The sequence below is a fragment of the Homo sapiens genome, chromosome 4 (assembly GCF_000001405.40).
Source record: "Homo sapiens chromosome 4, GRCh38.p14 Primary Assembly".
Taxonomy (NCBI): Eukaryota; Metazoa; Chordata; class Mammalia; order Primates; family Hominidae; genus Homo; species Homo sapiens.
In genome coordinates this window covers 68,073,513-68,087,563 of record NC_000004.12, presented here as the reverse complement: position 1 = coordinate 68,087,563, position 14,051 = coordinate 68,073,513, and the positions used below count along the sequence as shown (strand labels likewise).

The window sequence follows — 14,051 nt, the reverse complement described above, 5'->3', positions numbered from 1 at the left end:
CTACTTCTTTTTCTATTTGGATGCCTTTTACTTTTTTCTCTTGCCTCATTACTCTGTGTAGGACTTCTAGTACTATGTTGAATAGGAGTGGAGAGAGTGGCATCCTTGTTTTGTACCAGTTCTCAAGGGGAATGGTTCCAGCTTTTGCCCATTCAGTGTGATGTTGGCTGTGGGTTTGTCATAGATAGCTCTTATTATTTTGACATATGTTCCTTCAATGCCTAGTTTATTGAGGGTTTTTATCATGAAGGGATGTTGGATTTTATCAAAAGCTTTTTCTGCATCTATTGGGATGATCATTCTGTTTTTAATTCTGTTCATATGGTGAATCACATTTATTGATTTATGTATGTTGAGCCACTTGCATCCCAGGAATAAAGCCTACTTGATTGTGGCAAATTAACTTTTCGTGCAGCTAGATTTGGTTTGCTGGTATTTGGTTGAGGATGTTTGCATCTATGTTTATAAGGAGTATTGGCCTGATATTTTCTTTTTTCACGTATCTTTGTCAAATTTTGGTATCAGGATGATGCTAGCTTTGTTGAATGAATTAGGGAGGACTGCTTTCTTCCTGATTTTTTGGGAATAATTTCAGTAGGATTGGTACCCATTTTTCTGTGTATGTCTGGTAGAATTTGGCTGTGAATTCATCTGGTCCAGGGATTTTGTTTGTTTGTAGGTTTTTTGTTACTGATTTAGTTTCAGAACTCATTATTGGTCTGTTCAGGTTTTCAATTTCTACTTGGTTCATTCATGGAGGTTATATGTTACCAATAATTTATCTATTTCCTCTGGGTTTTCTAATTTACATGCATAGGGGTGTTCATAATAGACTGAGTATTTCTGTGGGATTGTATTTCTGTGGGATTGGTTGTAATGTCAACTTTGTCATTTCTGATTGTATTTATACGGATTGTCTCTCTCTTTTTCTAATTTAGGTAGCTATCAGTCTTGTTTATTCTTTCAATAAACCAAAAATTTGGTTTTGTTGATCTTTTTTTAACAGATTTTTGTGTCTCAATTTAGTTTTGTTCTGCTCTGATTTTAATTGTCTTTTATTTTGCTAGCTTTGGTGTTGGTTTGTTGTTGTTTTTCTAGTTTCTCTATGTGCATTGTTAGATTGCTAATTTTAGATCTTTCTAACTTATTGGTGTATTTGTTTAGTGCTATAGACGTTCCTCTTAACACTGCTTTAGCTGCACCCCAAAGATGTTGATGTCTTGTGCCTTTACTGTCCCTAATTTCAAAGAAATATTTGATTTTTGCCTTAAATTTGTTGTTTACCCAAAGGTAATTCAGGAGCAAGTTACTTAATTTCCATGTAGTTGTGTGGTTTTGAGATATCTTCTTGGTAATGATTTCTATTGTTATTGCACTGTGGTATGAGAGTGTGCTTGCTGTGATTTTTTTTTAATTTATTCAGGCTTGCTTTATGGGCAAATACTTGATTTATCTTGTAGTATATTCCACATGCAGATGAGACAAATATATATTCTATGGTTGTTGGGTGTAGTATTCTGTAGGTGTTTGTTAGGTCCAGTTGGTCAAGTGTCAAGTTTTTGTCCACAATTTCTGTGTTAGTTTTGTGCCTCAATGATCTGTGTAATGTTATCAGTGGGACTGTTGATGTTTCCCACCATAATTGTGTAGCTGTCCAAGTCTTCATAGGTCTAGAAGAACTTGTTTTATGAATCTGAGTGCTCCAATGTTGGGTGCATATATATTTTGGATGGCTGAGTCTTCTTGTTGAATTGATCCTTTTATCATTATGTAATGGCCTTGTTTTTCCTTCTTTACCGTTCTTGCTGCTTTTTGTTTTCTGTTTGCATGACGGATCTTTCTCCAACCCTTTACTTTGAGCCTATGGGTGTCATTACATGTGAGATGGTTCTTTTGAAGGCAGCAGATTGTAGAATCTTGTGTTTTTATCCAACTTGCCACTGTATGCCTTTTAAATGGGACATTTAGACCATTGACATTTAAGTTAGTGTTGATATATGATATTTTGTTCCTGTCATGTTAGCTGATTGTTTTGTAGATGATTGTATAGTGGCTTTATGATGTCTGTGGGCTACGTACTTAAATGTGTTTAAATGCAAATCAAAACCACTATGAGATACCATCTCACACCAGTTAGAATGGCAATCATTACAAAGTCAGGAAACAACAGGTGCTGGAGAGGATGTGGAGAAATAGGAACACTTTTACACTGTTGGTGGGACTGTAAACTAGTTCAACCATTGTGGAAGTCAGTGTGGCGATTCCTCAGGGATCTAGAACTAGAGATACCATTTGACCCAGCCATCCCATTACTGGGTATATACCCAAATGACTATAAATCATGCTGCTATAAAGACACATGCACACGTATGTTTATTGCGGCATTATTCACAATAGCAAAGACTTGGAACCAATCCAAATGTCCAACAATGATAGACTGGATTAAGAAAATGTGGCACATATACACCATGGAATACTATGCAGCCATAAAAAATGATGAGTTCATGTCCTTTGTAGGGACATGGATGAAATTGGAAATCATCATTCTCAGTAAACTATCGCAAGAACAAAAAACCAAACACCGCATATTCTCACTCATAGGTGGGAATTGAACGATGAGATCACATGGACACAGGAAGGGGAATATCACACTCTGGGGACTGTGGTGGGGTGGGGGGAGGGGGGAGGGATAGCATTGGGAGATATACCTAATGCTAGATGACGAGTTAGTGGGTGCAGCGCACCAGCATGGCACATGTATACATATGTAACTAACCTGCACAATGTGCACATGTACCCTAAAACTTAAAGTATAATAAAAAAAAAGAACATAAAAAAATAAATAAATAAATAAATGTGTTTCTGTGGTAGCTGGTATTGTTCCTTCATTTTGACATTTAGCATTCTCTTAAGGACCTCTTGTAAGGCCGATAGTGGTAACGAATTCTCTTAGCTTTTGCATATCTGAAAATGATTTTATTTCTCCTTTACTTATGAAGCTTAGTTTGGCAGGGAATGAAGTTCTTGGTAGGAATTTCTTTTCTTTAAGGATGCTGAAAATATGTCCCCAGCCTCTTCTGGCTTATAAGGTTTCTGCTGAGATGGCCTGATTAGGTTCCACTTATAAGTGACCTGACCCGTCTCTGTAGCTAACTTTAAGATTTTTTTTTCTTTTGCAGCGACCTTGGTGAATCTGACGACTGTATGCCTTGAGGATTGTTGTCTTATATTGCCTCTTGTAGGAGTTCTTTGCATTTCTTGAATTTGCATGTCAACTTCTCTAGTGAGATTGGGGAGATTTTTGTGGATCCTATGCTTAAATATGTTTTGCAAGTTGTTCCTCTCTCTTCTTGTATATCTGGAATGCCAGTGGATCATAGGTTTGGTCTCTTTACATAATCTCATGTTTCTTGGAGGTTTCGTTCTTTTTTAAAATTTCTTTTTTCTTTATTTTTGCCTAAGTTGATTCAAAGAACTGGTCTTCGAGCTCTGAGATTCTTTCCTCAGCTTGGTCTATTCTGTTGTTCCAACTGTATTATAAAATTCCTGTAGTAAATTTTTCAATTTTAGGAGTTTAGTTTAGTCCTTTCTTAAAGTGGCTATGTCATCTTTCACCTCTTGGATCATATTACTGGACTCATTGGATTGGATTTCAACTTTCTCCTGCATCTCAATGAGTATCCTTGCTATCCGGATTCTACATTCTATATCTGTAGTTTCAGTCTTTTCAGTCTGGTTAAGAAACATTGCTGGGGAGGTAGGGTGATTGTTTGCAGGCAAGGAGACAGTCTGACTTTTTGAATTGCCAGAGTTCTTGCACCTATTCTTTTTCATATGAGAGGTCTCATGTTCCTTTATCTTTTTGAATTTGCTGTCGTTTGAATGGGGCTTTTTTTATTATTATTATTTATTTCCCTTGACATTTTGGCTGTTGTATAAGTTGAGTATAGTCTGTTGTCTTCATTTCTTGGTGCTTTCAGAGGGCCAAAGTTCTGTACTGGTTTTTATTTGTGGCTAGATTCTTGCATGGGTTTCATAAGCATGTGTTTTGGAAGAATTTTGTTGGTGTTATAATTAAGACTGTGATCCAGTAGATGGTGCTTAAGAGTAATGACTGGCAGATAGGCTGTTAGCTGCCCTGCTCTTGTGTATTTCAGTGTGTTTGCAACAGTGCTCTGTGGTTGTGGCGTTGAAGAGAGATGATGCTCTTACCAGGTCCATCCCTGTGCCTTAGGGGGCCCCCTTTAATCACTGGCACCATGCCCTCATTTCTTTAGCCTCAAGGGGTGCCCAGGTAGGCTTTCTGCCTCTACTAGTGACAGTCCAAGCTAAAGATTAGGTTGCCAAGAGACCTGCAATGTTGTGGAAGCTTAATGGAGTCAGAGCAGGTTGTGGGGTATATCTGAAGGTGGTCTGTTGATGCTTTGACCTACTGTCAAGGGTGAGGGGTCTCTGGGCAGGGTGGTGTTGTCATGGGTATGCAGCTTATGTGGTGCTCGTGGCTCACAGTTTTTTTGCCCATCAGATAGCTGTGGGGCCTGCCCAGCTTGTTCTCCCTCACCCAAGTTTCCTTCTGTTTGCTTCCTGAGTATCTGGCCCAACCAGCTGGTTTTGTCCCAAGCCTTCTGTACCCAGATCACTGGGCTGTTAGGTGTCCAGAGCTGTGGTGCTTCTTTGGGCAGAGGCAGTGGCTGTCAGACAGGCCACACTCTTTCTGGATTATCCCTGTAGAGGGAGGCACACCAGCTTCTGTACCAGCCCATCAATCCATGTCTCACTCTTCTCAGTGTTCTGAGAGTGGGGGCTCTTCCCCTGCTGCAGCACCAGCCACAGATCTCAGCTTGGCACTCCTGAACTATGTGCTCTAACCCAACGGGGTTGAGATTGAGCCTGCAGCTTTATCTTCTGGCCTCATGGGGTTGGAGACTGGTTCTGCTTGGGGAGCAGATATGCTCGCAAACCAGTAAAGCACTCATACTGGGCAGTGGAAGCTCTGCTGTGTGCATGTTCTTGTGGGAGCAGCCAGGTAGCATCCTTGGGAGGGGCTGGTGGACAGCCAGCTGTACAGAAGAGACACACCTTAGTCTCATGAGAAAGGCAGCACTGCTCTCTCCTGGCCCTGCGGTCAGCAGAGGTCAGAGCTATTTGGAGGAAGGGGGAGAGCCTTGGAGGATGGGTTCCTGTGGCCATGTTTTGCTGTAGCTGCCTCACGTGCAAAACCCTCTGGGGTCCATGCAGGCAGGAGCTCTCTCTGCCTACTCTCGAGGCAGATCCCCCTGCCAATTCAAGTATCTATGGGGGTTGTGGGATCTCTTGTAGGTATGATCCTAGAGATCCCCAGCAAGAGTGAATTGCCTCACAGTCACTTCATTCACCCCTTCCCTAGTTGCTATTCAGGGCCGGGAGCTAGTCCTAACATCCAGCAAGACCACATAGGGTTGCCAGCTTCCTCATCTTCAGCCTCTGTGTCTGCATTGCCTCTCTATCAACTCTGAGTGTTTTCTCTCCCAGAGATCTGTTTGATGTATGTTGGCTTACTCAATATTTTGGTCTCTCTCAGTGGGAAAGTTCCTTTCTGGCTGTATCTGGGCAGCCGTCTTGCCACTCCCCCAACAAGTTCTCAGTTATTTTTCATTGGTGGCAAAGAGAGGAGGTGAGTGAAACATATCCACTTTAATGATATATTAATACTTTAAATCATGGTTCTTCAGCAAAAATGTTGAAGATTGTCTGTCTCTACCATCTTTCTATGCCCAAAAGCCATATGAAAGCCATACGTGTGGTAGAGTTTGTGTGGAACTGTTTTGTTTAAAAACTGGATTTATATTTTGACAGTACTCCATCGTTTTTGCCAAAGTTAAAAAAAATGACTAGTCTGGTAATTAAAACAAGATACTAATTGTTTACATACTGAGACTTGCTCGTGTGATTAAATTAATATTAATTACTTAAAATTAATGTGTGAAGTATCACTACTTAACTAAATGGAATGCAGGAATACTTTATCAAGTACATATCCTAGGACAAGCAATCTTTCTAACAGACTGGTCTCCATTTTCCCCTTGGGAGCATCCAGTAATTAATGTACTTCTGCTAAGATTCCACACCTCAAAGCCAATGCTGTAAAAAATTGTTTGTTTAGATAAAAATAAATATAAACATGAGTTCTGGAATTTTTCCATATGTTCTATGATACATTGACTTCACTTTGGAACTGAATGCTCAGGACAATCCAAAAAGATAATACTATAAATGACATGACAGTTATTATAGTTGGATAGGTAAGAGATTTCCAAAATAAAGACTGGAAAATTCTCATGACTCCCATCCACTATGCAGAATTTTCAGTATCAAAAGGCTACAGATATTGACTCCAAAACTTTCTAGTCTCATTTCTTAATAATAGCTTCTCACTGAAACCATCTTTACTGGGCTCTTTATATTCTAAAACTACAACAACTAGCTTGAGGGACTATGTTTTAAAAGGACATCTTAAAAATATTTCTTTTTTCATTCTTCGTTCCCCTCTATTTTAAGAGATTAACATTTGCAATACAAAAACTTCTTTAGAGACAAAAAATATTACATTTAAAAACACTTTTTCTTTTAAGTTTATTGAATCTTTTCCTGGCTGTTAGCTAAAAACCTTATCTAAAACTTGGGGATGTGTGATGACAGAACTTCCAAAGAATAGACATTGAAATAGATGCATAGCGGAGCATTATCTAGTACCAATTAATTTATTTTTGTATAGGTTATATTCCAAAACACAGAACTTATGACTGGGGGATCTTGATTAAATAATTTATTAATCAAGATCTTTCAGAAAAAAATTCATAAGGAAGTGAGGACAGCAGGAAAGGGCAAAGGAAGAAGCTAGATAAAAATGTAGTTTCACAAATGTAGCCTCAGCATGATTTCTCTGGGAGATCTGGAGCTTAGATTAATCACGGAGGTGATTCTTCCCAGAAATTAGAGGGTTGGGTTGTTTGTCTTAGACCAGTGGATCTGCCCAGGGAAGGTGGAGCATAGCCTACCAGACATTACTAAACAAGGTGCTCAGGTCAGACAAGGACAATTCTCTGGAGAAGTGCAGGTGTGAACTGTTATCAGTCAATTCTCGAAGCTGGGGTATGGGTACACCTCCCCACTCAGTGCAATTTGGATAGAGAACAAATATCTACTACAATTCTTTTCTCACAACTCATTATCATTTAAGTAATTTCAGCTTCTTAAATAAATTTCATAAGAAAGAAGGAAAAGTTTATTTGCTTGATCAGTGACTGCAAGCAATAACTCCCCATTGGCCTAGGCCTCCAGATAATCCAACTCATGATCCTGGCTTTGCTTTGTTTCCTTCTGTGGCTCTGTAAGTGATTTCATCCATTCCCATAATAGGAGTTCAGAAGAAGAAAAATCCTTTTGAGTCAGCAGGAAGCTTTCCTGGAGAGGAAAGAGGAAAAGAATCAGTTTTGTTGGTGTTTTTGCCCTCTGCTGGCACATATTCCCTTGACAGTAACAGGAAATTTGCATAACCTGCCTGATTATTTTCATGGGTGAACCTCAAAAGGGATTCCCTACCTGGCATACAGTAACTACTGATCTTCCTTGAGGACTTAATCTGCATTTAGTTCACAACCAAAGGAAAGATGTGAGCTCAGACTTGCCAAAAACAGTACCTGGGTGGTATGAAGCTAATTAGTTAGAGCCATAAGTATTGTTTCAAATATGTTATTTTGTTTTTTAATGCTGGAGTTCAAACCAAAGACTACAATTGGTATCTGATTTTAGGGTGAAGTTTTTTCCCCCATTTTACCATGAGCACACTATCTTGTTTCATATAGAATAATCTCTAGTAAAATGATCTATTCTTAGGTTTGAACTGTAAAAAGGGAAAGGATACAATTAGTTTTTGTAGTTTGGATCACATTAAAAGCATTATATTACTGAGTTTCCAACAGAAAAAAGTAAATATGAGTTAAACTTTCCAGAAACTAGTTATAACAATCATTAGGTATCTGAGGAGGAATAGTTCCCCTACCCCTGTTAAACTTAGAAGCAGTAAACAATCTCTGAAGAGATTATCTCTTAGGAGATTTATATTCAGGAAATAAAAGATGCCTTTGAGGGCTTCTTTAAGGGTTTCTTTCACCATGACCTTCCTACCTGCCTGTCTCCCACCAACTTTAACATCTGCTTCAAATATGTAATTAATTCAAGGTTGTCAAAGTCACTTAATGCGCTTAACACAAGATCTAAAGATGGCTTCCCTGGGTTCATATTACAGAGCCACCACTTCCTGTGCCACCTTAGACAAGATTATATATCCTGAGTCTCAGTTTCTTCATCTATCAAATGGAGCTGATGAGAATGATACTTTTCCTCCTAAGGTAGTGTGAGTTTTAAACAAAAGAATCAGTCCAATGCCTGCCATGCAGTATGGAATTAATACTTGTAAGCTTTTAGTAAAGGTCACACCAGTATTGTACTATACCAGAATATGCCATTTTTTAAATAGAGGTTGATGCATTGGGGGACTATGGTTTGTTAATATCACATTTTAGTTTGAATTGAATCTTGATATTTTCTTATACTCTAATATAATAAGACTCCTAATCCTTCCCCAAAGTGTCATATGTACACAGTTCAGAATTTCAAAGGACATTAATCAGATGTGCTAGAGATACAAAAATCACCTTTTCTCCCTGTTCCCTGAGTGATGGAAATAAAATGGGCTCAGAGAAGCTTAGTGAAATTGTAAGTGTCATGACTCAGAACTGATCCAAACCTGAGGAATGACCCAAATATGTGAGGTCACTACTGGGGCCTCCTGGGTCCCACCTTTCTGCAGATAACCACAGATTTCTACTTTCACTTGGCAACACAATTTGCAGATAAAACAATGTGTTACCATCTTCTTCCCTTTACCATATTGTTGATTCTTAATTCATTAATTCAGTTATTCATTCACTCATTTATTTGTCAAACATGGCTTGTGTGTTTACTGTGGGCCAGACAATGTGTGGAACATTGGATATATAAACATAAATCACACTCCCTGCCTTACCACAGTTCATAGTGTAGAGTGAGAGAGACACTATTGTAAACCAGTGTGATAATTGCTATTAATGTAATAAAATCATATTCAAGATGACAAGGTGGCCCAAATAAAGGAGTGTTCAACTTTGAGGAGGGCAAGTTAGAGCTAACTTAATTGTCATTAGAGTTTCTCAAGTAAGGTAAGGTTGTAATTGAAGAAATTTGCCAGGGGGGAAAAAAGTTGTAGGAAGAGGAAAATGAATGTACACAGTCACAGAGGTGTGAACCAGCCTACTGTGATTAGGAAAGGCAATTAAATCAGTAGATAAGAGGTTTTGGCCCCTCTCCAGCTGGACCAGGATCAGGGGAGGGGTTACAAAAGAGTTAAGCAGGTGGGAGTAAGGGTGGGATGGGGGTTGCCAAAGGCCAGGGGACCATCCACCGCTTCCTGGGAGGGCTGTGCCTGTAGTGGGTTTGTTAGTGGGCAGGGCAGGGCAGGGCAGGTCAGCCCAGCCTCCTGTCTCCGCTTCCGTCTTCCATCTCCCAACGTGCTCATCCTGGCTGCCACGGAACCCTCTCCACTCAATGGCATGGAGCCCTGGCTACCATCTGGGATGGCGTGGAGTCTGCCGGCACACCGCCCACTACCTAAGGTGCTAGGCTGCAGGAGCTGGCAGCCCTTGCTCAAAGCCTGGTGTTCCTTGCACAGTTGATGATCTTTCTTATTTGCATCATCCATCTCATATTCTGTGGATATCTGGGCAGTCAAGTTGAGTAGTGTTACACTTGTGAATCGTACTGGTACTTCAGTTACAACTGGATTAGCCTCCCCTTGTGACAAGCTAATGTCCCAATCCTTTGTAGGCAAGAACCTAAAATGTGTGGGGACCATACTTCAAAGAGGAATCCTTATCTTGATGCTGTGCTGTTTTCCTTGCTGGGCCATCTTTCTCAATACTGACAGCATCTTCCTGCTCTTAAGTGGATCCTGACATCACCAGGATGGCCCAAATTTATGTGATGATTTTCATTCTTGCTCTTCCAGCAGCATTCCTGTTCTGGCTGCAGAGGAGATATTTACAAAAGTCAGGGCATCAACTTGCCTTAAGTTATCACTGGAATCACAGAGAATGCAGTCTATGTGGGCCTTAATGCACTCTTGCTTGTAGACTGTGGAACTTAGAGGGTTAGAATCTGCCTGGGCCAACATCACTTCCCAGTTCTTCCTTTCTGCACTTCTTTTCCTCTACATGTGGTGGAAAAACAAATTCATATCAATACTTGGGGAGGTTGGACTAGGGACTTTTCCCAGGAGTGGGGCTCCTACATCCAGCTGGCTATCCCAGTATGCTCATGGTATATATTGAGTGACAGACTGTTTTAATTGGAACCCTTCTTGCAGGACTGATTAATGTGACAGAGCTGGAAGCTCAGGGCATCATCATCTGTGAACTGGCCTTTGTAGTCTACATGGTTGCCCCCTGGCTTTGGTGTGGCAGCCTGCGTATGAGTGGGTAATGCTGTGGGAACAAGGAATCATGAGCAGGCTTGGTGTTCCCACTTTACTGTTCTCCTGTGTGCCAGTGTGTGTACACTTGCAGCAAGTGTTTTACTGTTGTTTTGAAGGGTGTGGTTGCCTATGTATTTACCATTGACAACGATATTATTTCCCTTTGTGAGCCAAGTGATGCCTGTTTTTGCTCGTCTTCATCTATTTGATGCACTTGCAGGTACCTTTGGTGGAGTCATGAGAGGCACAGGAAAATGGAAGATTGGTGCTATCTTGACTGCCATTGGTTATGGGAAAACCTTTTTTCTTTTCCCATGGGAGTATCTCTGATGTTTGCTGCTAAACTTGGGATAATAGGACTCTGGTCTGGATTGAGCGTGTCTTTCAAAACCTTTTCTCTTTAGTGTACATCTTGAGAATAAACTAGAGTAGAGTTGCAGAGCAGGCACAGGTTTGAACTAGTCTAAAAGGGTACAAAGAGACTATAGCTACCCCAATAGAGCTACCTATCCCAGAAAGAGAAGTAACCGATGGAGTGATTTTGCCTGATATTGTCAGACCAGAGTGCCAGATCACACAACTAATGGAAGAAAACACCCAATATGCAGTGCCCTCTGTTGGGGATGTTTTGACATTGAGACAGTTGATTTTCTATTGTGGAATAGCTTTAGCTGTTGCTATTGCTATCCTTTTAGCAGGAATTTTAATAACAGTTTTCAATGACTATAGTTAAAGCAGAAAAATTATCACCAGCCTTCAACTAGAAATGGTAATTATATGCCTTATATTAAGCATGGAAGGCGACCTTGTTATTTGGACAGTGGTTTTACTCTCAACTCTGGGTGGAAAGGTGATGTCTCCATGGTTATTCTGAGAAACTGTGTTATTTTAATGGAAATCAAGAAAGGAGGTATAACTTTAAGCAAACTTTTGTCTGTTAACTGTAACATAATTTCTAAGTATGTAAATTTGATTTTTCCTGCTGTAAGTGTTCTTTATTCTTTTTTTTTTTTCTTTTTTTGGAGACAGAGTCTCACTCTGTTGCCCAGGCTGGAGTGCAGTGGCCTAATCTTGGCTCACTGCAAGCTCCGCCTCCCAGGTTCAGGCCATTCTTCTGCTTCAGCCTCCCGAGTAGCTGGGACTACAGGCGCCTACCACCATGGCCAGCTAATTTTTGTATTTTTAGTAGAGACGGGGTGTCACCTTGTTAGCCAGGATGGTCTCGATCTCCTGACCTCATGATCCACCCGCCTTGGCCTCCCAGAGTGCTGGGATTACAGGTGTGAGCCACCGCACCCAGCCTATTCTTTCTTATGTTGAATATCTTTCTTCTTCCAGGAAAATGGTTCATTGTCCTATAAACTGTTATTGGTGACCTAGTTTTCTTTTATTTCTCTTAATGTGCTTAATCTTGTCACTGAGTATATATTAAGTACCTGTTCAAGTCCTGTCTAGGATATTGCCATACAAGCTTTTACAAAATAAACACCTTAAAATGAAAGAGAGAGAGAGAGACAGACAGAGAGAGAGACTTTGAAGGTAGGGATGGGGCAAAGTAGGGGCCAATGAAGGGGTAAGATTGTGTTGAAGGAAATATTGAACTTGAGGCAGGGTCTAATATACTCAGGTTTGCATTTTAAAGATATCATCCTGGTTGCAGTATTCGGAGGGAACAACTGAGGGGACAGAAGATAGGGTAGAACCACATCAACATGCCATGAGGAGGCTGCTGCAAAGGCCCAAATACAAGTTTCTAAGGAGCTGATTTGAGACCATAGCAATGAGATTGAATCAAGGAAAGTGGATTTAACATTTAGGAGGTAAAGTCTACTGGGCATTATTACTACATTAGAAGAGTCAGGGAGAGGAAGGAATCTTGTGGGGAGGGAGACTTTCCCTACTCTGACAGGATGTAGAAATTGGGGGCAAAATTTACCATGGAAATAGATCTTATGTAAACTTACATTGACCTGTTATTCCGACTGATAACTCTCAGCCCAGTGCTTTTTAAAAAAATTTTTTAATCTATTTATTATTTATTTTGAGACCAGATTATGACTCTGGCTGATTTTTGTATTTTTGGTAGAAATGGAGTTTGCCATGTTGCCCAGGCTCATCTGGAACTCCTGGGCTAAAGCAATCTATCCACCTTGGCCTCCCAAAGTGCTTGGATTACAGGCGTGAGCCACTGCACCCTGCTAGCCCAGTGCTTTTTTGACAAAAAGGCAGTGCCTCAATAGCCAGCTGGAATCAGAACCCTTTATGAAATCAGTTTCCTGAATACTGAAAAATTTCCAATGGCTTAGACTGGGAAAGCTAAGTAATGAAATGCTGATGGTATAAGAGTGTGGTGAAACTTATTCCCAAGCATAGTACCAGTTGTGAAATCCTGTCTCTCATAGAGATGACTAACAAGTGAGGGTGTCAGAGTCACATGGCAGAAGTCATTTCAAGTCATGTCAAATGGTCTAGTGATGACATAATCATTTAAGAAATCAACAAATTCTATCAATACTGGATGAGATGCCATATTTGGGATGAGTGCAGCAAACAAGGTAAGCTTTCTTAGAAATAGGGATGCTGTCTTAAAAAATAGCATGTACTTTTAATTTACTTGACAGTATTTAAAACTATCATCAATAGCTTAGTAGATACCAGACAAGGTGTAAAATATGTGACATAATTTCACTTAATTCTCAAATCAACTGTATAAGGCAGATATTGTTGTTATCCCATTTTACAGAGGCTTAGCAAAGTTGAACAATTTTGTTGTGGTTATTTGGTTCCACAAAGATTAGACCCCAGGTTTAGTCTTACAACTGTCAGTGTACCCATTAACATGACTGGGAATAAGCTGAAAATCTTTTTTATTTTTATTTTTTTGCCCAAGTCTCTAGATAAGACAAGGAATAACACTTTTCTTAAGACTAATACTTCTTTTAAAAAATTATTTTTTTATTTTACTTTTAAGTTCTGAAGACTAATACTTATTTTTTAAAAATCAGATGTCTAGGATATTTCGACATTCTTCTGTAGGCGGTCGATTTATCAAATCTCATGTTATCAAATTAAGGTATGTAAATTTGGTTTATAATTTCAAGTTAATACTGTTAAGATGAGGTATTTGATGAACCTAATTGCTTAGCTGCCCTGAGCAAGTCTTTACAGCAACACAGAGATTTCATAAATCTTGAGCAGCCCAAGGTTTCCTACTTATTTCCCAATCACAATAGAAAGTCGTAAGGTGCTTTGTGACAAGAAAATCTCAGCTATTGGATACAAAAAGAGGAAACAAACACAAGAAACAGGGGAATGACACAGTTAACATTCCCTCTTCCCCCCGTCTCTTAAGCTAGGGGCTAAGTAGAACTTAACGTCTTTTTCATTTTCCTCATTTTAAGCCTACTCCACCAGAAGACAATGACTTTCTCCACAGTAAAGTGTTTCTTTCATGACAGTGCATGTTTATTGTTAGTTTAAAATGGCTTTTCATGTCTTTCCT

At 39.8% G+C, this 14,051-nt stretch overlaps 1 protein-coding gene and 1 pseudogene across 4 annotated transcripts in view; both read left to right on the top strand.

Moving 5' to 3' along the window:
* Positions 1-14,051, top strand: part of TMPRSS11F (transmembrane serine protease 11F) — a 76,672-nt gene that overhangs the window by 42,306 nt on the left and 20,315 nt on the right. For 2 of the 4 annotated variants that reach the window (NM_207407.2, XM_011531935.2), the window contains exon 4: positions 13,555-13,622. The exons of 1 other annotated variant lie outside the window; for it this stretch is intronic. In NM_207407.2, coding sequence (NP_997290.2) covers positions 13,555-13,622 — 68 coding nt within the window. Of the gene's footprint in view, positions 1-12,209; positions 12,370-12,951; positions 13,105-13,554; positions 13,623-14,051 lie in introns of all 4 variants that reach the window. One more of the 4 variants, XM_047415670.1, reaches the window with a different exon arrangement.
* Positions 9,710-11,243, top strand: LOC100420693 (solute carrier family 47 member 2 pseudogene; annotated as a pseudogene).